The following is a 24,293-nucleotide window of genomic DNA, read 5'->3' as shown; positions in this document are numbered from 1 at the left end:
AAGTATTTACAAAGGAGACATCTATCCAAGTTGACAGACAGCTCAGTCTTCATCTTTGAACCAGTGCCTGTGGGTTCACAGTTTAAAAAGATGTGAAATATATTCTTTTTGTCCTCCTTGTCCTTACTTTAGCATGCAAGAAGACAAATATATAACCCTAAAGAAAGAGCTCATTCCAAAGAATGTTCAATTCTAGGTGACAACTGGATTTGGGGTATAAGGCTTTCCCACCAGAACTAGGCATTTCGCTGTGTCGTTAATCTTTCATTCCAAGACAACCTTTCTTCCGTTGTTTTTTTTTTGCCTTGCAGATGTTGAAAGTGCTTTCAGGTCAGATGCAAATACAGATGCATTACCACTGACAGGCTTGTCAGTCTTCTCCTGTTTAAAATGCTTTTTGGCACTTAGGGTTTTGAGACTCGTAATCACGCCTTTTCACCTTAAATTATAAAGCCCTTTTATGGCTGTTACTGGACTTTCTAGGGAGGCCTGATGCAGTGAAGCCTGAAGTTCCTGCTTAAGGCTTTGAGCATAGAGGGTTTCTAACAAAAGGTACTAAAATCTACTGCAAAACAGATGATTTTTCATTCAGGAACATGTATTCGTGAAGACCACACTGACTGAAGTGACCTTAGTGTTTCTAAGTCAGGTTGTGCTGATCTGTCTCTCTTAGCAGCTTCTGGAGATCTAAAACAGTCGTCTAGCATGATAAATCTCTGCACTCTGCATTGTTGAGGCAGACACTGTCACGGTGGAAGTAAATGAGCATGATTTATATTTACAATTCAGAAACTTTTCTTTTAAATGGAAGCAAAGCTGGGACTATGTCTATTATGCCTAAAGACTGCAGCAATATTGCAAGTAACTACAAGGCACTTATTTACATAAGTTTTTCTTTGTTATTTCCTTCTTTCTAACCTTGCTAATATTTATTTTGACTACTTGGCAAAGTGCCTCTGACTTCATCCAGGATGAGAACAAGGCTGAATGAACGATACCACCCAGGCAGTTCGTAAAACAAAACTGCTGAGAGTTTGTTTCTTCTTTCTTTTAGTATTCATAATTGCATATTATGAAAATTATAAATCATTTTCATAATTTGAGCAATGAACTGTTAGTTCCCAGGGACACTTGTTGGGTGTTCACGAGATCAACTGCATTTATAAACATTTTATTGTATTTTTTAAGTAGCCTAGTATTTGGGATTAGATTTGACAATCTGGCTGGGAATCAGTAACCTGAAGCTCACCTAGACCAAGTGACTTTGTCAAAAAGAAGCAAAGTACAATTGTGTACGGTAATTTCCTCCAGATGGTTATAGAAGCCAAATCTGATTCTTGTCAAATGATTAGTGTTAAGGTGTTTATTTACAATAAGAAAGAATTCACACTTTTCTTAGTACAAATCAGTGGTTCTCCAATTGTGGTCTCAGGAGCAGCTTTACATGGGAACTTGTTAAAAATGCAAATTCTCAAGCACCACCACACCTACTGAATTAGAAACTCTGGGAGTGGGGGCCCAGTGAAATGTGTTTTAATAAGCCCTTTGGGTGACCCTGATGTTTCAAGTTTATGAGTAATTTAAAGCAACGCTATCATAAATCTGAATAAAATCTACACAATTACTTTATAATTTTCACTTGGGTATATGGAGATATGAAGTCAAATTTTAAAAGCAAAATGTAAAGCTTCACTCTGATTTAAGCAAAAATCTTAATGGCATTGCAGCACCATCAAATCCCTTTCTTTTCACTGGTTTTGAGTTCATTTGAGGGAAAAAAGGTGACTCTAACTTGCTGAAAACAGTGTAAGTTATGTATATACTAAACGTTTGAATTCTGATTTTGATTTATTTTTCTTTCCGTAGAGCTGCCTAGTCTGTATGATTGTTGTTTGTCATTGTCAACTGCCTGCCAAATTATACAATTGAAAAATGAAAAGGAGAATTCACCTACGTAGACAGACATCTGCTAGAAATCAGTACTTTTAAATTTCACTCACTTTCTAGAATACTTCTAGAATTTTCTATGTGAAAAAGCAAAGGAATCTAAAAGGACATGCATGGTTCTTTCTTGGGTGGGAATTTTTTTTTTCATTGATGCAAAAATAGGTGTTCATATTTTCACAGTACATGTGATCTTTCAATTCATATAACTTGTGCAGATCAAATCAGTGTATTTGGGATATCCAACACCTTAAATATTTGTCTTTTTTATGCTAGAAACACTTGAATTATTCTCTTCTAGGTAATTTTAAATGTTTAATAGATTATTGTCTATATCAATAAACTATAGTCAACCTACTGATCTATTGAACACTAGGTCTTAATTTTTCTATCAAACTGCATATTTGTACCCGTTAATCAACTTCTCTTCATCTCCCACTCCCCACTAACCTTCCTGGCCTGTAGTAACCACCAATCTACCATCTATCTTTATAAGATCCACTTTTTTAGCTCTCACATATGAGTGAGAACATGTGATATTTGTATTTCTGTGCTCGGCTTATTTTACTTAACTTAATGACCTCCAGTTCTATCCATGTTGCTGCAAATGATAGAATTTCATTCATTTTTATGTCTCAATAATAGTCCATTGTGTATCTATACTGCAATTTCTTTATCCATTCATCCACTGATGGGTACTTAGGTAGGTTCCATATTTTGGCTATTGTAAATAATGCTGCAATTAACATGGGAGTGCAGCTGCCTCTTTGATATATTGATTTCCTTTCTTTTGGGTATATACCCAATAGTAGAATTGCTGGATCATATGGTAGTTCTATTTTTAGTATTTTTAGGAACCTCAAAACTGTTCTTCATTGTGGTTGTACTAATTTACGTTCCCACCAATATGAGGGTTCCTCTTTCTCCAAATTCTCACCAGAATTTGTTATCACCCGTCTTTGTGATGAAGGCCATTTTAACTGGGGTGAGATGATATCTTATTGTGGTTTTAATTTGCATCTCTCTGAAGATTAGTGATTTTGAATTTTTTTTTCATATAGCTGTTAGCCATTGGTATGTCTTCTTTTGAGAAATACCTATTCACATATTTTTCTTACTTAAATTGGATTATTGTTTTTTGCTATTGAGTTGTTTGAGTTCCTCCTATAGTGTAGTTATTAATCCCTTGTCAGATGGAAAGATTGCCAATGTTTTGTCCCATTCTGTGGGTTGTCTCTTCACTTTGTTGACTGTTTCCTTTGCTCTGCAGAAGCATTTCAGCTTGATGTAATCTCAATTGTCTATTTTTACTTTGGTTGCCTGTGCTTTTGAGATCTCACACACAAAAATATCTTTGCCCAGATCAATGTCCTGGAGTGTTTCCCCAGTGTTTTCTTCCAGCAGCTTCATAGTTTCAGGTCTTAGATTTAAGTCTAGCTTCATTCACCTGCATATACTTATCCAATATTAACAGCACCATTTATTAGAGAGACTATTGTTCCCCCATTTATTCTTGGTGCCTTTGTCAAAGGTGAATTGGGTTTAAATGTATGGATTTATATCTGGGTTCTCTATTCTGTCCCATTGTGTTTTTATGCCAGTACCACACTGATTTGATTGCTATAGCTTTGTAGTAAACTTTGAAGTCAGGTAGTGTCTTCAAATGCCTCCAGCTTTGCTCTTTTTGCTCAGGATTGCTTTGGCTGTTTGGAGTCTTTTGTAGTTCCATACAAACTTTAGTATTGTTTTTTCTATTTCTGTAAAGAGTGTCATTGGTATTTTGATGGGGCATTTGCATTGAATCTGTAAATAGATTTGGGTAGTGTGGTCATTTTAACAATGTTAATTCTTCCAATCCATGAACATGAAATGTCTTTCTATTTTTGTGTCCCTCTCAATTTCTTTCATCTGTGTTTCATAGTTTTCTTTCACTTCTTTGGTTAAATTGATATCTAGGTATTTTATATTCTTTGGAGCTTTGATGAATGGGATTCTTTTCTTTCTTTCTTTTTCAGATCAATTGCTGTTAGCATATAGAAATGCCACTGACTTTTTAGGCTGATATGTATCCTGCAACTTTACTGAATTCATTTGTCAGTTCTATGAGGTTTTGGTGGAATTTTTAGGTTTCTCTGAATATAAGAATATATCATCAGCAAACAAGGATAATTTGAGCTCTTCCTTTCCAATTTGAATGCTCATTATTTCTTTCTCTTGCCCAATTGCTCTGTCCAGGACTTACAGTATTAGGTTGAATAAAAGTAATGAAAGTGGGCATCCCTGTCTTGTTTCAGATCCTAGAGGAAAGACCTTCAATTTCTCCCCACTCAGTATGATATTTGCTGTAGGTTTGTCATATATGGCCTTTATTATTTTGAGTTATGTTCCTTCTATACCCAGTTTGATGAGGACTTTTATCATAAAGGGGTGTTGAATTTTATTGAATACTTTTTTGGCATCTATTGAAACATCATATAGTTTTTACTTTTGGTTTTGTTAATGTTATGTATAACATTTATTGATTAGTATATGTTGAATCATCCTTGCACCCCTGGGATGAATCCCACTTGATCGTAGTAAATGATCTTTATAATGCCTTATTACATTCAGGTTGCTAGTATTTTGTTGAAGATTGTTGTACCTATGTTCATTGGTGATACTGTCCTGTACTGTAGTGTTCTTTTTTTTTTTTTTTTTTTTTTTTGGTCCTGTTGTGTTCTTGTCTGGTTTGGTATTGGGGTAATTCTGGCCTTGCAAAATGAGTTTGGTAGTATTCCCTACTCTTCAATTTTTTTTGAAGAGTTAGAGTATAATTGGTATTAGTTCTTCTTTAAATGTCTGGTAGAATTTAGCAGTGAAGGCCTAAGGTCCTGAGTTTTTCTTTGATGGGAATCTTATTCTAAATTACAGCTTAATCTTGTTGCTCATTATTGGATTGTTGAGACTTTTTTATTCCTTCATGGTTCAATCTTAGTAGGTTGTATGTGTTCAGGAATTTCTCAATTTGTTGGCGTATAGTTGTTCCTAAGAGTCTCTAATGATACTTTGTATTTCTGTGGTCTCAGTTCTTATACCTCCTTTTCTATTTAATTTTATTTATTTGTATCATCTCTCTCTTTTTCTTAGTTAGACTAACTAAAGGCTTATCATCTTTTTTTATCTTTCATAAAAACACAACCTTTTGGCTGGTCATGGTGGCTCACGCCTATAATCCCAGCACTTTGGGAGGCCAAGGTAGGTGGTCAGGAGTTCGAGACCAGCCTGGCCAGCATGGTGAAACCCTGGCTCTACTAAAAATACAAAAAATTAGCCGGGCATGGTGGCACGCGCCTGTAATCCCAGCTACTCAGGAGGCTGAGGCAGGAGAATTGCTTGAACCCGGCAGGCAGAGGTTGCAGTGAGGCTGGAGTGCAGTGGTGTGATCTCAGCTCACTGCAAGCTTGCCTCCCAGGTTCATGCCATTCTCCTGCCTCAGCATCCCGAGTAGCTGGGACTACAGGTGCCCGCTACCGCACCCGGCTAATTTTTTGCATTTTTAGTGGAAACAGGTTTCACCGTGTTAGCCAGGATGGTCTCAATCTCCTGACCTCGTGATCTGCCCGCCTCGGCCTCCCAAAGTGCTAGGATTACAGGCGTGAGCCACCGCACCCGGCTCACTCTATGGCTTTTAATTGAAGAATTGAGTCCATTTATATTCAGTGTTATTCTTGATAAGTAAGACTTACTACTGTCATTTAGTTGCTTATTTTCTGGTTGTTTTATAACTTGTCTCTTCCTTCTTTCCGTCTTTCTTTGTGGTTAAGTGATTTTCTCTGGTATTATGTTTTAATTCATTGCTTTTATTTTTAGCAAATCTATTGTAGGTTCTTGCATTGCGGGTACCAATAGGCTTACAAAAAATACCTTGTAGGTATAGTAAGTTGTTTTAAGGAGGTGACAATTTATCTTTTTTTTTTTTTCTGAGATGAAGTTTCGCTCTTGTTGCCTATGCTGGAGTGCAGTGGCGCAATCTCAGCTCACTGCAGGCTCCGCCTCCCAGGTTCAAGTGATTCTTCTGCCTCAGCCTCCCGAAGAGCTGGGATTACAGGCGCCCACCACCATGCCCAGCTAATTTTTGTATTTTTAGTGGAGACAGGGTTTCACCATGTTGGCCAAGCTAGTCTCCAACTCCTGACCTCGTGATCTGCCCACCTCAGCCTCCTAAAGTGCTGGAATTACAGGCGTGAGCCACTGCGCATGGCAACAATTTATCTTAGATCACAAAGAAAAGAATAGGTAAAAAGAAAAAAAAAGGTAAAAGTTCTACACTTCAACTCCATCTCCCCTAAATTTTGACTTTTACTTGTCTCAGTCTACCTTTTTTATATTACCTACCTCTTGACAGACTACTGTAGCTATTATTATTTGGTAGATTTGTCTTTTGGGCTTCATACTAGAATTAAGAGTGGATCGTACACTGCAATTCAGTATTCTGTGTTTGTCTGTGTCCTTCTGTCAGTGGGTTTTATACCTTCAAATGCTTTTTTTTCATGTTAATGGTCTTTCTTTCTTCTTTCTTTCCTCCCTCCCTTCCTTCCTTCCTTCCTTCCTTCCTCTTTCTTTCTTTCTTTCTTTCTTTCTTTCTTTCTTTCTTTCTTTCTTTCTTTCTTTTTCTTTTCTCCCTTTCTTTCTTTCTTTTTTTTCTGCAGGAAAAACTCCCTTTAAGCATTTCTTATAAGATGAGTCTGAAGGTGGTGAATTTTCTGCACTTTTGTTTGTCTGGGAAATACCTTATCTCGCCTTCATATTGGAAGAATGACTGCTGCATGCAGTATTTTTGATGGAAGGTTTTTCTTTCAGCACTTAGAAAATGTCATTCTACTCCCTCCTGGCATGTACAGTTTCCATTGAGAAGTCTGTTGCCAGATGAATTGTACCTCTTTTGCTATTTGTGTATTTTCCCTTACTGCTTTTAGGATCCTCTCTCTATCTTTGACCTTTGAGAGTTTGATTATTGCATACTTAGGAGTAGTCTTATTTGGGTCAAATCTGTTTAGTGTTCTCTGACTTTCCTGAACCTGGATATTTATATCTTTCTCACATTTTAGAACATCTTCTGTTATTTCTTTGAATAAGTTTTCTACCCCTTGTTCTTGCTCATCTCCCACTTGAATACTAATAATTCTTAAATTTGCTCTTTTGAGGTAATTGTCTGTATCTTGCAGGTGGTCTTTTTTCCTTATCATTCTCTTTTCTCCCCTGTGTATTCTCAAATATACAGGGCCTTTCTTTGGGCTCACTGAGTCTTTCCTCTGCTTGATCCATTCTGCTATTGAGGGCCTCTAATGAATTTTTAATTCAGCAAATATATTTCTGAGTTCCAAGATTTCCGTTTGATTTTTTTGTCAGTTATTTCAATCTCATTGTTAAATTTCTCTGATAAATTTATGTTTTTATTTATAATTTTCTTTCTCATTGGAGGGGAGGGAAAGAAAGCAAGCAGAGGTGGGGGTATGGTTACACTATTTAAGGAAGAGCTGAATACAAAGACAATGAGTCTTTCATAGTCTCAACAACTCCACAATGAATGTGGATTATCTCATTTATAATTCACATTGGATCAAAAAAATTGGTTCCCCTCTGTATATATCAATTTAATTCAAACCTTATTATCTTCAAAATACAAAGATGAATACTGCAAGATAAACTCTTACTGCAATAGGTATTTTCTAAGTAGAAGACCAAACATCAAAGGGAATCCCTCTTTCCAATGTCTTTTGATATGACAAGATTTTGCCAGAGTTGAACTCTAAAACTTAAGTAAGCATTCTCATGGCCAAGTAAGAAACTAGTTGTTTTGGGTATTATCTTACAATTCACGTATGTATTACATATTAAATTAAACTCAGCATGAAATATGATTGTATAATTATGCTGTTAATGATGATAGCAGTGATGATGCTGGTAGAAAAAACCTGTCTTTAGCCCAAGAAAAGTAAGGGAGAAAAATGTAACAAGCAGAAATCAGACAGAGAGTTGGGCATTTTTTGACTAGGAAAGAGAATTTTAAGCATAGAAATATACAAAGAAAAGTACTCCCTTATTTTCCCTATATGGAAATAGTATGAAACATTTATTAGATCTACTGGACAAGAACAGAACTAAGTACTGCAACTGTACCGCAGCATTACAAAAAATTCATCCCTTCACAACAGTGTAAGATTTAAGGGCAGCCTGCCCAAGGATGCATGTTATATAAAACACAACAAGATTGCTACTGCCCTGCCAAGTACTTCCAGTCCCTACCCAGGTCCTAGTGAAATACTGGTGTTCCCAATTAGTTTTATTAAAATAATTCTTTAAAGAAAAGATAAAGCATTTAAAAAGACAAGTCAAAATGCTTCAGGAACGACATATCCAGCACAAACTTTATCCTCAAATGAGTTACGTTTGCTTCGCACTAATAAACTTTTATTTCACTCAAATTAGAGCAATAATCTTCCATACATAAATGTTTTCCCTGCCCAATAATTCAAAAAAAATCCAAAATCATTAGTAAAAAAATATAAGAATTAACAGACCCTTTAAATTTGTTTTAAATATTTTTAAGGTTTAAAAATTGTTTAAAGTTTGTAATTCCTAGTAGGAAAACATTATCTGAATGAATACCCTAATGGCAAACCACTGTAAAATGCCTCAGCTGCATTTAGGGGAGAGGGGTAGGGATTATCTTCAAAGCACCCCAGCTCTCTTGATGAGAAGGTCAGAGGTACACTGCTTTGTATTATTGTGACATCCATAAGGTGATCTAGGTTGTTTTTCCTTCAGCAAGGGCTTTATTCATCAGAAGGGCATTACACTTGACCTCCAAATTTGGCTGACAATTTACTGATAAGATTCATAACCTTTGGGTTGCTCTGGTATTGTGACATATTTGCTGGGTTCTGAGCCACATCCTGGAAGGCCACCATAACCTCTGGACCCTGCATGGCTGCAAGAACCTCTGAATCACTAAGAATTTCATTGAGTCCAGGCATTCTGGCCATTCCAGACATTCCTCAGGGAAAATTACCAGGCATTCCCCCAGGAAAGCCACCTGGAAAAGAGCTATACTGAGCTCCTTAGTGTCATCTGGCTTCTTCCTCCCTCTGGGCTCTCTCATGCTCTTCTTGAGCCTTCTTAACTCTTTCTATTCTTGCTTTGATCTCTCACCCTTCACGTTTTCACTCATACTTTCTCTGATGTTCTGCAATTTTCTGTGCCCTAGGTTGAACTTCTTTCAGCATTGCACTAGCATCTTCATCATAATCCAATTTACAGGCAAAGGCAAGATCATGTGCTGCTTCTTCCCAGTGGCCTAGAAGTATGTGTGCTTTCCCTCACCACTTGTAAGGCTGAGCTGAATCAGGATTTATTTCAATGGCTCTGTCACAGTCTCAGATAGCAGCGTTTGGCTCCTGTAATTTGACAAAGACACTTGCCCTCTTGGCATACAAAATGGCCAAGCAAGGATTCAGCCTGATGGCATCTGTGAATAAGTCAATGGCTTTCTGCAGTTCACCATCACTTAGGGCTTCAATAGCAGCCACTTTCTTATCATTTGCCTGATTCATCATCTCCTCTGTTATCTCTGCATTTTAATCTCCCAGTTCTTGAGGGGCATCAGTGTCTGGTTCAATCACACCTTCATTATCAATAACTAGATCACTTTCCTCACTTGATGGCGTTAGATATGAGTTCTAAATTTCTCTTCAAAGAATCAATATGTCAGTATGTTCGATTCTTTGCCTTCTACTTTTAAACTTAACTTCCTCATAAAGCAACCTTTTTCAATCACCTGCTCCACTCTGACTCATTCCGATTACCTGCTCCACCCTGACTCATTCTGATCACCTGCCCCACCATGACTCATTCCAATTACCTGCTCCACCCTGACTCATTCCAATTACCTGCCTGCCTTGGCTCATTCTGATCACCTGCCCCACCCTGACTCATTATGATCACCTTCCCCAACCTGACTCATTCTGATCACTTGCCCCATCCTGACTCACTCCAATTACCTGCTCCACCCTGACACGTTCCGGTTACCTGCTCCTGCCTGACTTCTCCTCCACTCTGACTTATTCCATAACCATTTTTCCCGCTAAACCACTCACCACATCACTCTCTTTAAATTAGCCAATCGGAATTAGTTTAGCCTGTGCAGTCTAACCCTAGCCAATAGGGGAACGACACAGCAGCAGGGGCCACGTGCATCAGGAATAAGAACCCCTTTCCCACCCAGGTGTGTTCTCGCTATTGTTCCATCTGCAACTGAGCACCTTTTCTGCAGAAAGTAAAGACAGCCTTGCTAAGAGATCATTTGTCTCCAAGCTGACTTTTCTTTGCAGCACCGATTATCTATTTCTAACAATTTTGGGGGCTCGTCCAGGATTACAGTCTCCTCTAGGGTGGGTCTCCAGTCCTCTCTTGTGAGAAGGCATGCCCCACTACCTCGTTTTTGGCAGCCTCAGGGGTGAGGAACCGAGATCCACCCAGTGTGATGAATAAACTGGGACTCTCAGCAACGTGGAAAGAAACTGGCTAGCAACGTAGGGTAAAGGATCCTCACATACTGCGGTAATGACTCTGCACAGACCAAGGAAGGAGAAACCATGGGAGCTGGTAAAGTACTTCCTTGGTGGTCAAATTCTGGAGGGCCAAATGTGTGTGTGTGTGCGTGAATGATCACAAACAACCCTTCTTATGGTATTGTTCATGTGGATGGTGACAAGTCCTACTGCTGGAGTGAGTGGGTCCTCTCCACGGTTCTGTGGCTACCTCATATGGCTTAGGGCAGATCCTGCTGTGGGATTTATACCGGCATACCAATGCTAAGAGGGGTCTAATTCTTCCTTGGGGGAGCAGCCAGAGAGGACAACATGAGTGGGAAGTGTGCAAAGGACCGTCAGATGGGGAAAGGGAGGAAACAGGTCAACCTTCCAGGGCAGCAAGGCAAGACATCCCTGGTTTGAGGGGTTGAGACTTCCAGGACAGGCAAGGCAAGGCACCCCTGGTTTGAGTGGTTGAGACTTCCACAAATTTCAGGGGGTTGAACCTTACACAAACCTCTGGTAGTTAGAAAAATATTCAGAACTCCCCTTTCCTTTCTTCTTGTGGGGAAGAAAGAGTAGCTCCACTCCTGCTGGTCCCTCCCCTAGGGGAAGGGGAAGGAGAGGGGGGAACAGCAGCATAAGCAGCTGGCAGAGGCAGGGAAAGACCAGCAGAGAGGAAAGAGAAACTTGGAGAGGAAGTCAGAGAGAAAGAGACAGAGAGTCAAAGAGAGAGAGAGAGAGATAGAAGTAGTAAAGAGAAAACAGTGTACCCTATTCCTTTAAGTGCCAGGATAAATTAAAAACCTATAATTGATAGTTGAAGGTCTTCTCCTTGACCCTATAACATTCCAATACCACCTTGTTGTCAGTGTAAACAAGGGTGTAGCCTGAAAGCACTGAGGCCACTGACAACCCGTAGCCTTTCCTAATCAAAAATCCTTAACCCTGTAACCTGTGGATAGCCCAAATGCATTTAATCTGTAGTGGCGACTGCTTTGTTAACAGAAGAAAGTAGAAAAATAACTTTTAGAGGAAACTTCATTGTGAGCACACCTCATCAGGTTGGAACTATCCTAAGTCAAAAAAAAAAAAAAAAAAAGCAAAAATGTAGCATACTGACTCAAGAACCTTAAAGTATGAGGCTATTCTGTTAGAAAAAGATGATTTAACATTAAACACTGAAAATTCCCTTAACCCAGCAGGCTTCCTAACAGGGGATCTAAATCTTAATTGATTACCATACAAAGGTCCAACCAGACCTAGGAGGAACTCCCTTCAGGACAGGACAATAGATGGTTCCTCCCGGGTGATTGAGGGAAAAAGACACAATGGGTATTCAGTAAGTGATAAGGAAACTCTTGTAGAAGCAGAGTTAGGAAAATTGCCTAATAGTTGGTCTGCTCAAACGTGTGAGCTGTTTGCATTCAGCCAAGCCTTAAAATACTTACAGAATCAGGAAGGAGCTATCTATACCAATTCTAAGTTAATATGGACTGAACGAAGTCTTACTAATAGCAAAGAATAATTGAAATCCCAAACTTACAAAGTTTTCAACAAAAGTAAAATTTGCTAAAAGTTAACAGTGTAACATGTATTATCCTAACTTCTAATTTTGTGGCCTAAGGCAGCCTAGTCCACAGACATGAAGGAAGTTCACTTTGGAAAAGAATGGTTATCTTTGAAAACAAAAAATGGGGGAGAATTTATGTAAAAAGAATATTATATGGTAAATTCTTGTCCTAAAACAAATTAACTGGTTGTTTAAAGAAAGGGATGTTTGCAACAAGTCAAAAAGTTGAGGCACATTGAAGAATTGTCTGTGAAAGTCGTGAAAAAAAGTTATAAAAGGGAAATGTTGTATAATTTAAAAGTAATTAGGCCTCCTGAATGTAAAACTATTGAAGAAACAGTTTATGTGCAAGGTGTGTAAGGAAAGTAAAATGTATTTTTGGTAAAAGGATTACAAGGAGGCATAAGAATATGGATTTTTACCTACATTAAAAGGTTAAAAAAATATTTTATTGGCCGGGCGCGGTGGCTCACGCCTGTAATCCCAGCACTTTGGGAGGCTGAGGTGGGCAGATCACGAGGTCAGTAGATTGAGACCATCCTGGCTAACATGGTGCAACCCCATCTCTACTAAAAATACAAAAAATTAGCTGGGTGTGGTGGCGGGCACCTATAGTCCCAGCTACTCGGGAGGCTGAGGCAGGAGAATGGCGTGAACCCGGGAGGTCGACGTTGCAGTGAGCCGAGATAGCGCCACTGCACTCCGGCCTGGGCAAAAGAGCGAGACTCCATCTCAAAAAAAAAAAAAAAAATTTGTTTTAAAGGTTTAAGCAAGTTTTGAAATGTTAATTGTAAAGGAAATTCTGTGTGTAAACATATTGGCTAAAGTTAAAGGGGTATCCAGTTTTTCTGTGAACGGGACATTAAAATAAAAGCACAACAGATTTTTCTTAAAGCACTAACCTGCTCTTTAACAAAAATTATAAATGGTTAAAAAGAGTCTATAAAAATCTTACCTTATGGTCAGACATTAAAATTGGATAAATATGTCTATAAGGTTTCATTAAAATTAAGTTTAACATTAATAACACTAATATAAAGGTGAAATTTAGTTCATCTGGTATAAAATCATACAGGAAGCATTGTTAAATATAAAATGGTGTTTGGCTTTCTTTGGTCTAAAAACTAATAAAAATAGGTGCTAAAGAAAATTTCTCAGGCTGGGCACAGTGTCTCATGCCTGTAATCCCAGCACTTTGGGAGGCTGAGGCAGGCAGATCACGAGGTCAGGAGATCAAGACCATCCTGGCTAACATGGTGAAACCCCGTCTCTACTAAAAATACAAAAAATTAGTCGGGCGTGGTGGCGGGCGCCTGTAGTCCCAGCTACTCGGGAGGCTGAGGCAGGAGAATGGCGTGAACCCGGGAGGCAGAGCTTGCAGTGAGCCGAAATCATGCCATTGCACTCCAGACTCCAGCCTGCGTGACAGAGCAAGACTCCTTCTGAAAAAAAAAGAAAAAAAAGAAAATTTCTCAGCAAGAAGGCACCAAGGACTATAAAGTCCACTGCTGATGTCCCCACATTTAAAACAAAAGATCAATTTCTTAGAAATTATTTACTTGGGTTAACCTCCACTTTCTCCTCCCTTAAAACAAGAGGTCTTTCAGCAGAGGCGCCGCCTTTGGAGTTTCCAGTACATCAGCATCGGCCTGGGGATCACGTTCTCATCAAAGGGTGGAAAGAAGGGAAACTTGAGCCAGCCTGGGAAGGACCCTGCATTGTGCTGCTAACCACCGAGATTGCTGTTTGTACAGCAGAAAAGGATGGACACATCACACCCTAGTCAAGCAAGTGCCATTATCATCAGAATCATGGGTCATTGTTCCTGGACAATCCTCTACCAAATTAAACCTAAAAAAAGCTTAGTCCATCTATCTTTTCCTTTCCTTTCCTTACCCAGTGCTTATATCCATTACTATTCCTACCACTAGCAACTCTTACCCCACTTTAGAGCACTTCTATGGTTTAGGAGCAGAAGTCACTGGAAAGGATCCTATAGGCTTCTTCAAGGTATGCTTTGTTCTCCCTCCTCCACCTCCTATGGCTGCCCCTTTCCCAAACCTATGAAATCAAACTATGACTCGCCTCATGCCAAGTGACAAAAGCAAGGTCTCAGTAGTAGAAATAGGAGACCTAAGGCAAACCATAGCCATTGAAACAGGGTATAAAGATGTAAATGCCTGGTTAAAATGGATTAAATGTTCTGTCCACATGTTAAACAAAGGCAATTGTTATGCTTGTGTGCACTGCAGGCCAGAGGCCCAGATTGTCCCCTTTCTACTAGGGCGGTCCTCCAGTCGACCGGGCGTGGGCTGCATGGCAGCTCTCTTACAGGATTCTACAGCCTGCGGTAACAAGTTGTGCCAAGTTCTCTCTCTGCTATATCCCAAATTTCAACACCCTGCAGGTCAGCCCCCGAGGGCCATCCAGCTTCCATCTCCCAACACAAAGTTCACTAAGTGTCTCAGACTGAGAGACAGGACTAGCTGGATTTCCTAGGCTGACTAAGAATCCCTAAGCCTAGCTGAGAAGGTGACCACATCCACTTTTAAACACGGGGCTTGCAACTGAGCTTACACCTGACCAATCAGAGAGCTCACTAAAATGCTGATTAGGCAAAAACAGGAGGTAAAGAAACAGCCAATCATCTATTGCCTGAGAGCACAGCGGGAAGAACAAGGATCAGGCCATAAACCCAGGCATTCTAGCAGGCAACGGCAATCCCCTTTGGGTCCCCTCCTTGTATGGGAGCTCTGTTTTCACTCTATTAAATCTTGCAACTGCACTCTTCTGGTCCTTGTTTGTTATGGCTCTAGCTGAGCTTTCGCTCGCTGTCCACCACTGCTGTTTTGCCAGTGTTGCAGACCCGCTGCTGACTTCCATCCCTCCGGATCCAGCAGGGTGTCTGCTGTGCTCCTGATCCAGCAAGGCGCCCATTGCCGCTCCCGATCGGGCTAAAGGCTTGCTATTTTTCCTGCATGGCTAAGTGCCTGGGTTTGTCCTAATCAAGCTGAACACCAGTCACTGGGTTCCACGGTTCTCTTCTGTGACCCACGGCTTCTAATAGAGCTATAACACTCACTGCATGGCCTAAGATTCCATTCCTTGGAATCCGTGAGGCCAAGAACCCCAGGTCAGAGAACACGAGGCTTGCCACCATCTTGGAAGTGGCCCACCGCCATTTTGGAAGTGGCCCACCACCATCTTGGGAGCTCTGGGAGCAAGGACCCCTGGTAACATCACGACAGGGAGGAAACTTAGTGTTCCTTGGAGACCTGAAGGGATGCAGTAAGCTTAAAAATTTTCAAAAGCTTACCAATCAGTCAGCCCTTATTCATCCCTGAGTGGATGTGTAGTAGTATTATGGTGGACCTTTACTGAACACTCTGCTGAGTAACTCAAGTGGGACTTATTCTTTAGTCCAATTGGCTATCCCTTTCACCTTGGCATTTCATCAACCAGAGAAAGGAAAAATAAGACATCGTAAAGCAAAAGAAGCCTCTTATGGGTCATTCTACTATCACGTCTATTTAGACACAATTAGAGTCCCATGGGGAATACCAGATCAATTTAAAGTCCGAAATCATATAGCTGCAGGATTTGAGTCAATATTTTAGTGGGTGACAATTAAGAAAATGTAAATTGGATAAACTACATTTATTACAACCAACAGGGATCTATTAATTACACTAGAGATGCTGTTAAAGGAATAGCTGAATAATTAGGGGCTACTAGCCAGATGGCTTGGGAAAAATAAGATAGCCTTAGTCATGATATTAGCAGAAAAAGGAGGAGTTTGTGTCATAATTAAAACTCAATGTTGCACCTTCATCCCAAACAACACTGCCCCTGATGAAAGTATGACAAAGACATTGCAAGGTCTGACTGTTCTATCCAATAAGTTAGCCAACAACTCAGGGGTAAACGACCATTTTACAGGATGGCTAGAAAAGTGGTTCGTTAAATGAAAAAGAATAATAGCCTCAATTTTTACTTCCCTCACAGCCGTAATGGGTTTACTTATTCTTGTAGGGTGCTGTGTCATACCATGCATCCATGGTTTGGTACAGAGGCTCATAAAAATGGCTCTTACTAGAACCTCCTTTAACTATCCTACACCTTATCCAGAGAAGCTGCTTCTTTTGGAAAATCAAGCAGAACAACTAAGCCAAGACATGTTAAAGAAGTTTGAAGAGAAAGAGCTGTAAGGTAAATGCAAGAGGAGGGAATGTTAGATATGAGTTATAAATTTCTCTTCAAAGAATCAATATGTCAGTATGTTCAATTCTTTGCCTTCTACTTTTAAACTTAACTTCCTCATAAAGCAACCTTTTTTGATCATCTGCTCCACTCTGACTCATTCCGATTACCTGCTCCACCCTGACTCATTCCAATTACCTGCTCTGCCCTGACTCATCCTCCACTCTGACTCATTCCATAACCATTTTTCCCGCCAAACCAGTCATCCCGTCACTCTCTTTAAATTAGCCAATTGGAATTAGTTTAGCCTGTGCAGTCTAACCCTAGCCAATAGGAGAATGACACAGCAGCAGGGGCCATGTGCATCAGGAATAAGAACCCCTTCCCCTCCCTTGTCCAGGTGTGCTCTCACCATTGTTCCATCTACAATTGAGCACACTTTCTGCAGAAAGTAAAGATGGCCTTGTTGTGAGATCACTTGTCTCCATGCTGACTTTTCTTCATGGCACTGATTATCTATTTCTAACAATGGTTCATCTGCCTTTAAGTCTTCCTCCACCTTCTTACTATCAGTTTTTTTTTTCCCCTTGGTATTTTCTTCTCATTTAGCTTTCTGAGTAGCAGGTGGTACTTTACCCCCCACGATCTCCACCCACTCCCTCAGGAAGTGCATTTCCTTGGTGTGCAGAATGGTCAGATCTGGCTTACACATTTTCACAAAGGCCCAAAGCTCGTTCACTTTGCGGGGGTCCATGGTTGGGAGGTGATGGGCAAAGCTGAGGGGCTGCAGCTCAGTTCCAGGCCCAGGCACGGCTTGACATGACCACGCAGAAGACTCTGATAAATTTATGAATTGCTTTTCTGTGTTATCTTGGAGATTACACAGAATAAAACTGGTATTTTGAATTCTTGGTGAGAGAGCTCACATACTGCCATCTTGTTAGGGTCAGCACTGGTTCCTTGTTTTGTCCATTTAGAGAGGGCATTTTTCCCTTGTGGATATATGTCTAATGTCTTTGCATTAAAGGATTATTTATTCCAGTCTTTTCTGTTTGGCTTGTTTTGGTTTTTATTGGATATATTTGCTTAGAGATTCTTTTTTTTTTTTTTTGAAATGGAGTCTCACTCTTTTTGCCCAGGCTGGAGTGCAGTGGTGTGATCTAGGGTCACTGCAACCTCTGCCTCCCGAGTTCAAGCGATTCTCCTGCCTCAGCCTCCGGAGTAGCTGGGATTACAGGTGCTCCCCCACCACACCTGGCTAATTTTTTTGTATTTTTAGTAGAGACAGGGTTTCACTATGTTTAGCCAGGCTGGTCTTGAACTCCTGGCCTCAGGTGATCCACCCACCTCAGCCTCCCAAAGTGTTGGGATTACAGGTGTGAGCCACCATGCCCGGCCCTGCTTACAGATTCTTTATTGCTAGATCACTACCTCCTTTTTCGGCTGTAGGTTTTACCTTAAGCCCGGGTTTATAATGGCTCTATAAACAATCAGAGTGTTGCTCTTCCCCAGTGAGGATTGTTGCAAATGGGGTATTTTGGTAGTGTGGGAAGGCTGGCTAGGGATTCCTGCACAGGGACCCTGTGGCATGAATCCTCTACAGCATGATGCTGCAGGACAGCCACTCCCATTTGGTGTCTCCTTTGGCTGTGTTCCAGAGCATAGTTTCCAAGACTGGTGACAGTAGTCCCACCTCCCTCCTTGGTCTTTGCTTGATCTCAGGGATATTTCTCCCTTCAGGCACTCATTTGGTTTCCTATGGAGTAAGGTGAGGACAGGTCACCTGCCAGGGAAACCAAACTGGAGGGCAAGTTTTCTGTCCACCTCAATCTCACTTTTTCCAGTGTAGAAATTATGAGCTGAGAGGAAATTTTGTGTGCATTTGATGCTGGGCAGAATGTTGGGAGGGACATCACTGTTGTAGAAATCTGATTCTCTTACCATCTACTCAGAGTTTTGTTTGTTTTTTTATACTTCTCTGTGACCACAGGAAGTATTTCATTCTCATGTTTGAGTTCTGGGATATGCTAGTGATAATCCCAGCACTATATTTTTATTTTTGGTTTTCTGCTGGGGACAGTGAAGCCAGCTTGCTTCTGTGCCTCCATTTTGGAACCAGAAGTCCACATGCATGATTCTTTAGCAATACTCATTCTTTGAAAGAGACTGGTTAGTGTTTTATAGATGAAAGACAATATTGGGGTTATTGTTTATAGATAATGCTATAATTTAGAATTTGGAGAAGAAGAAAAGGGAAACTAACAAAGCAAAGAAAAATTTTCAATGTAAAATTCCATAAGCTTAAGGGAAAAGTAGAAAATTTCACTAGGAATTGAGAAAGGATTATAGCAGAACTTTCCATTTCCTATGGGAAACAATAAACTCCATCCTTTCATATGTAAAGCTAGGTTAGCTATGTGCTCTTCACATTCAGTAGGTGGCCAGCAAATCATTTCTTTCAGGCTTGAGGCCACAATGCATTCCTTCTAAGTTTGGTAGAAAAATCATAAACTGGGTATTAGAAAATTGACTTCTATTTTCTGCTGTCTGTCTCTGGCTTAGAAACTTCATGAAAATAACACAATAATCCCTACTCATGAATTTTAATTTGTTCTTTTCTCTGCCAAATGAAGGGATGTATGAGAGAGAGACCCACTAGTGTCATCCAGCTGAACCATTCTCTGATTTTCCTTTTCCCATTGCCTGGCTTTTAAATTAAAAACTATAGATGACTTCCTAGCTTAAATAAACTAAAGTAAGTTTAACTTATTATTGTTTTGTAAAAAGAAGATGACTTTGGCTATTTAACAAGAAACGTGTTTTCTGAGTATTGCTTCCAGCACTGGTGATGGATTTATATTGAGCCATGCACTGTTCCTTGTGACTGGCTAGGGTTAAATGTTGAACTTGCACTTATGAATCAAGGGAAATCCTCCACTTAAAGTTCACATTTATGACTTTGACCTCATTAACACTGAACTTTAACCTCTAACCGGCTGAGATAATCAGCCACAAATACTCATCAGTCTAGGATAAAAGAAAGTTCCTTTGTTGTTCAGCCCAGTTGCATTTACCAGATGCATGTATTTGGATAAGCCACTTAAACTCTCAGTTTCCTCAAGTATAAAATGGCTGCTATGATTTCACTTTATAAAATACTTGCAAGTTGCTTTGTTATAACATATTTAAACCATGTAGATGAGATTCCAGTTTTTAGCAAGAGCTCAGTATTTGGTAGTTGAAGGGTAGTAGACATTGAACTGAAAAATTGGGATTGCTATTTAATGTACATAAAACTTAAAATAACAACACAGATCATATTAACATCCAAATGTGGATACAGATATTCCATGTTGGCCACTGGGAGAAATGAACCTAAAGGCAGACTGATGCTACCCTTTTCTCTCCTTGCCTCATAAGTAAGCAAATGCAAACCAGTCAGAGTCAAACAATATGAGAGTAACATGGCCAGGATTCCCAAAATTGTTATTTTAATCCCCCTATGATAGTTCCCAAGTATTAATCTCAATCTGTGAATGTAAAAATAAACTATAATGAAAGGGTCTATATGATAAGAAATTAATTTTTAAACCTGCTTTGAGAGAGGACTTCTTAGCTATGTACCTCTACTTTTCTCCATCTCTTCTTTAGGATACCCATCAAAACAATGGTGTATAAGGAGGATATTAACACAAGAGTATAGTTCGTCCACAAGTAAAAGAAAAAGCAGGATAGACAGTAGGCTCTCCAGGTATATTTAAAGTGTACGCTGGTAGAAGAACTCCTTTGCATGCATGTTGTTTGTTAATTTATAATAAGCATTATCTTCCCGTATTTGCACAAAAATGGAAACTTCTACTTGCACTGTTGACAGAAACTACGGATATAAGCCATCTTCCATCGTTCTGTTTTCTTACTTGGTAGCTGCTATCATCCACCAACTCTAATTTACCAACTACTGTTGGAGGTGAGATGCTTTCTTTTTAAACTTGCAGGTCCTTGAAAGCAAACGTGTTCACTTTTTTGGTCCTCAGGTAGATCCAGGTCTTTCAGAACCTAAGAGTAAGCATGATCTCCACAATGTAACCTTTGGTCAAAACAATGCATGGAGGTGATAAGGTGAGATATTGTGTTCCAAGTATACTAAAGCAATCAAAAACTATTTTAGTTCTTGATCTTGGAAAAATTTCTTCTTCAGCTCAGCACACCAGTGTAAAATCATCTATATCATTCAATTTTTATAAAGCTTAACGTTATAACTATGGATGACATTGTTAAATTGCATATTACAAAAAAGTTTTTGGCTGCTCAAGGTTCTGGGGCTTAGAGGCCATTGGTTGAAGCAGTTATGACTCACCCTTCTTCCCTTATAACATATCCATTTGCATTTGGATCCTGTATATTGCCACAGAAGCTTGTTGAATGAAACAAGAAAGGTCCAAGGATGTAAACCATGTCTTGTGGCTAGGCTTTTCTGATTGATGTCAGTTTTGCAGGAATGGGGTCTATGATATTAAGCACAACCTAGGAGTAAGAGGGTCTGGTCTGGTGCTGATGTGGGAGTGAAGGGTAGCAAAAGAGCTGAACTGGCAGAAGGGGGAGTGCCAGGCTACTTCTGGAATCTACTCGGATTAGTTCACACGTTGGTGTTGTATATCTACAATATATGGGTGTGTATATGGGAAAAATTTTGCATGTACTTACTCTGAAAGAACTGGAGTATTAAAGAGCTGAGACAGGACTCTTTCCCATAGGTCATCCACCCTCTTATATTCATCTTCACCATCACTACTATCCTGGGGCACACTATCATCATCTTTGGTTTATTTGTTATACTGCAGTAACCTCCAAATTGGTCTTCCACTTTCCACTTTTGCCCTGCTATTGTCCATTCCTCATTCAGCTACTAGAATCAGATCACTTTTTTTCTGTCTGAACTTCTTCAATAGTTTTGCTTTTTATATGTAATTAAATTCAAACACCTTTCTATGGCCTACAGGCCCTACATGGTTTGATCTCTGCCTATTTCGTGACCTTATCTTCTACTCTCTTCTTTGCCTATCATGCTCCAGACATGCTGGCTTCCTCTCAGCTCCTTGCACAGGCCATGCTTATTCGTGATCCAGGGCTGGGCTCACTGGCCCCTTTGCTTTCAATGGTCTTTCCACAGGTTTTCACAGGGCTGAGTCTGGCTGAGCTCAAGGGTTACCTTATCATCATTTCCCTGACATCTCCAAAATAGCCTCTCTCCACTTCCAGTTACTTCATTTGCAGCTATCAGAATCTGAAGTTTTCTTATTTATTTGTTTACACATTGACTCTTTTCTCACTAGTATAAGCTCCACGAAGGCTGCGGCTCTAACACTCTTGTTTGTCACTTGATTCATGGTATCTAAACAACGCTAGGCACATAATTGTACTCAACAAACATTTATTAAAGTCGAGTTATCAGAAATAATATTTCCTATTATTGAGAGACTATTAGGGACCAGGTAGAGTTCCAGATGCATAATATACACAGACTTAGTGAATTTTCTTCCAAACCCTGCAGCGTAAACATTACTGTCTCTAAGTAGAAGTTGAGATTCAGAAAGGTAAGTGAGTTACTCTGGTCACAGAGTTGGAAGTGGCAGAGCTGGGTTTTGATTCTCTAAGTGACTCCAAAGATCATGCTTTTTTCCAGGACAGTGTGTGTGTGTGTGTGTGTGTGTGTGTGTGTGTGTGTGTGTATCTCCTCATAAATCAGATATTTATTAATAACTATTAATAGATTTTTTTGTCTTCTAGTTATTACACCGGGTATGAGGAATAACAAGTTTTTGAGCATCAGTGTTCTACAGAATTGTGCTCAGTAAATGCAGAATGACTTACCACCTCTGTAAAATTGATAATAGTCTTGTTTTTAACAGAATCACATAAAGAATGTTTGATATAAAAATATGTACAAAACTCATGGTAGAAAAGTTATAATTCACAGAAAATTAGAATGGTAGAATTAAGTCTTTGACTTATTTAAGCAGATTTTGTGTCTATTATAATTTTTTTATTTAACAAGCAACTATAAAGCTGTTAAACTTCTCTAAGAAAAAGCCTCAAAAAGCAAACCATCCAAAAAATTCTGACTTTTGCTGTTTTCCATATGTGAGGTTATAGAAAACTTCTCATTCTTTTGAATCGTGATAAATGAGCAGTGGAATTAAAATAGCAGCAGAACCTATAATAAATTGATATTTCATACATGCAAATTCCTCTGAGATAGTCTGATTTCTCTGACAAATCTGGCCCCACCACAGTCTTGTTAGGTAGATTGACATAACCTGACAGGGTAAGCAAATCCTCTTCTTTCAAGTTGCAGCTACTGACTGGATTGAGTTATTTGGTTTTGAAAGGAAATTTATCCTCTTGAGCTTCTTATACCATAAAAGACACAAGTTCTTCCATGGAAGCAAGGTCTTCATGGGGATAGCATCTGGAACTCATTGCTGAGCAACCTTTCAGCTTCCCTATATAAACATTGCCTTTCTTCCCTTCATCTTTTTTTTCTGATGTAAAATTTGAAAGATTGGTTAGAAATCTAATTTTGATAATCAAATAATATTTACTGGAGAAATTTGCATCACAAGTTTGTTTCATTCTCATAAAACCTGAAAGATGGAAATAAGTCCCTATCAGAATACCTGTTACTCAGCTGATCTCTGATAATTTCTTTTTTTGAAGCTACCACATGTAGATAGAGATATTTAGAGCACATTTAGAAGACATGCAGGTCAGTCTTTAAGACTGGAGGAAAACGGGAATGTGTTTTTACACTTGAGGTCTGAGCACTTAAAGACTATTGAACTCACAGCAAAATGTCATAGGTTTTTGAGGTAAAGCACATGTACATTTAGTGAAAAGTCAGGTTTTCAACTGCAGTCACTTGAGAAAGAGCAATTATTTCTTGAAATGATGGTGGTCATAAGCAGTTTTATTTTCAGACATAATCTTCTGGTGCTGGGAGATTTCAGTTTCTTTGATAAGGCAATCTGTTATAGATTTTAAATCTGTTTTAGACACACAAACCTGAAGACATTTCTGTTTTCAATAAGATGCAAGACAAGTAGGAAAATGCATGTGTTCAGACACCATTTAACACTTAATACGAACTAAGAAGTATGGTTTCGTGAAAAAAAACTGTACAAATCTTTCACTAGGAACGTTATGGTTATTCTTCTAACCGGGTGGAACAGATGATAATAGGGATAACCCACTGTTGTAAGAGCTTTACATGCATTAATTCATTTTATCCTCAAAACAAGATTGTGAAATATATGTTTTTATCATCCCAATTTTGTGGATGTGGAAACTGAGACACAGAAGTTAAGTAACTTGCACAAGTTCACCCAGATAGCAAGGGGAGAGTTGTTAAGTGTTCCCAGGCAGACTGGCTCTACCACACTTCATATTGTCAGTCGGCAAATTATCAAATGATGATAGGGCAAAGATTTTTGATTCCTAGAATCTCTTTCCAATTCTCCCAGCAAGATTCTTTGTCAAGTTTCTATTTCTGTAGCTTTCATATGATTATAATGTGAACATTAGAGAGTTAAATGAGATAGTTTCTACCTAAAGTTTGGGGATATATTAGAACTGTAAGAATTGGTTTAATAATCTGTTATTTCCCCTCTTATCATTTATTTGTCACTTGTTATCAGTAAGAACATTTATAATGAGTAAAAATCTCAACTTTTAAAAGACCACTGCCTAGGATTCTTACTTTAAAAAATCCATTCTAAAGAAAAATATGAAACAGAAGCAAAGTTACACACTATGTACATTTTAAAAATAATTTATTGACCTATTGTATGAATACCAAAAAAGTATACATAATTATGCAGCTCTTTGAATTTTTACTAACTGAACACAGCCAGGTAAACAATACCCAGATCAAGAAACAAAATATCACCAGTATCCCAGAAGGCTGCCCCATGTCCACCTCCAAGAATAATCACAATCTTGACGTCTAA

The 24,293-nt window shown here is 39.2% G+C and overlaps 1 long non-coding RNA gene and 1 pseudogene across 2 annotated transcripts in view, besides 3 other annotated features; one reads left to right on the top strand and one right to left on the bottom strand.

Moving 5' to 3' along the window:
* Positions 1-8,583: 8,583 nt before the first annotated feature.
* On the bottom strand, positions 8,584-17,121 carry ST13P12 (ST13, Hsp70 interacting protein pseudogene 12; annotated as a pseudogene).
* Positions 9,468-10,667: an enhancer, noted in NCBI's record as "P300/CBP strongly-dependent group 1 enhancer chr5:82271083-82272282 (GRCh37/hg19 assembly coordinates)". NCBI's record gives its function as "activates an origin of replication core promoter dependent on BRD2, BRD4, P300/CBP, MED14 and CDK7 cofactors, with strong dependence on P300/CBP, by STARR-seq in HCT116 cells {active_cell/tissue: HCT116}" and the evidence as "EXISTENCE:reporter gene assay evidence [ECO:0000049][PMID:35650434]".
* Positions 9,767-10,061: a silencer, noted in NCBI's record as "tiled region #2834; K562 Repressive non-DNase unmatched - State 24:Quies". NCBI's record gives its function as "represses a minimal TATA promoter and a strong SV40 promoter by Sharpr-MPRA in K562 cells {active_cell/tissue: K562}" and the evidence as "EXISTENCE:reporter gene assay evidence [ECO:0000049][PMID:27701403]".
* The window catches only part of LOC105379051 (uncharacterized), a 62,349-nt gene continuing 48,270 nt past the window's right edge, over positions 10,215-24,293 (top strand). For both annotated transcript variants that reach the window (NR_188290.1, NR_188291.1), the window contains exon 1: positions 10,215-10,587. This is a non-coding gene — a long non-coding RNA (uncharacterized LOC105379051). The remainder of the gene's footprint in view (positions 10,588-24,293) is intronic.
* Positions 15,676-16,875: an enhancer, noted in NCBI's record as "P300/CBP strongly-dependent group 1 enhancer chr5:82264875-82266074 (GRCh37/hg19 assembly coordinates)". NCBI's record gives its function as "activates an origin of replication core promoter dependent on BRD2, BRD4, P300/CBP, MED14 and CDK7 cofactors, with strong dependence on P300/CBP, by STARR-seq in HCT116 cells {active_cell/tissue: HCT116}" and the evidence as "EXISTENCE:reporter gene assay evidence [ECO:0000049][PMID:35650434]".

The sequence above is a fragment of the Homo sapiens genome, chromosome 5 (genome assembly GCF_000001405.40).
Source record: "Homo sapiens chromosome 5, GRCh38.p14 Primary Assembly".
Lineage (NCBI taxonomy): Eukaryota > Metazoa > Chordata > Mammalia > Primates > Hominidae > Homo > Homo sapiens.
This window is presented reverse-complemented; position numbering and strand designations above follow the sequence as displayed.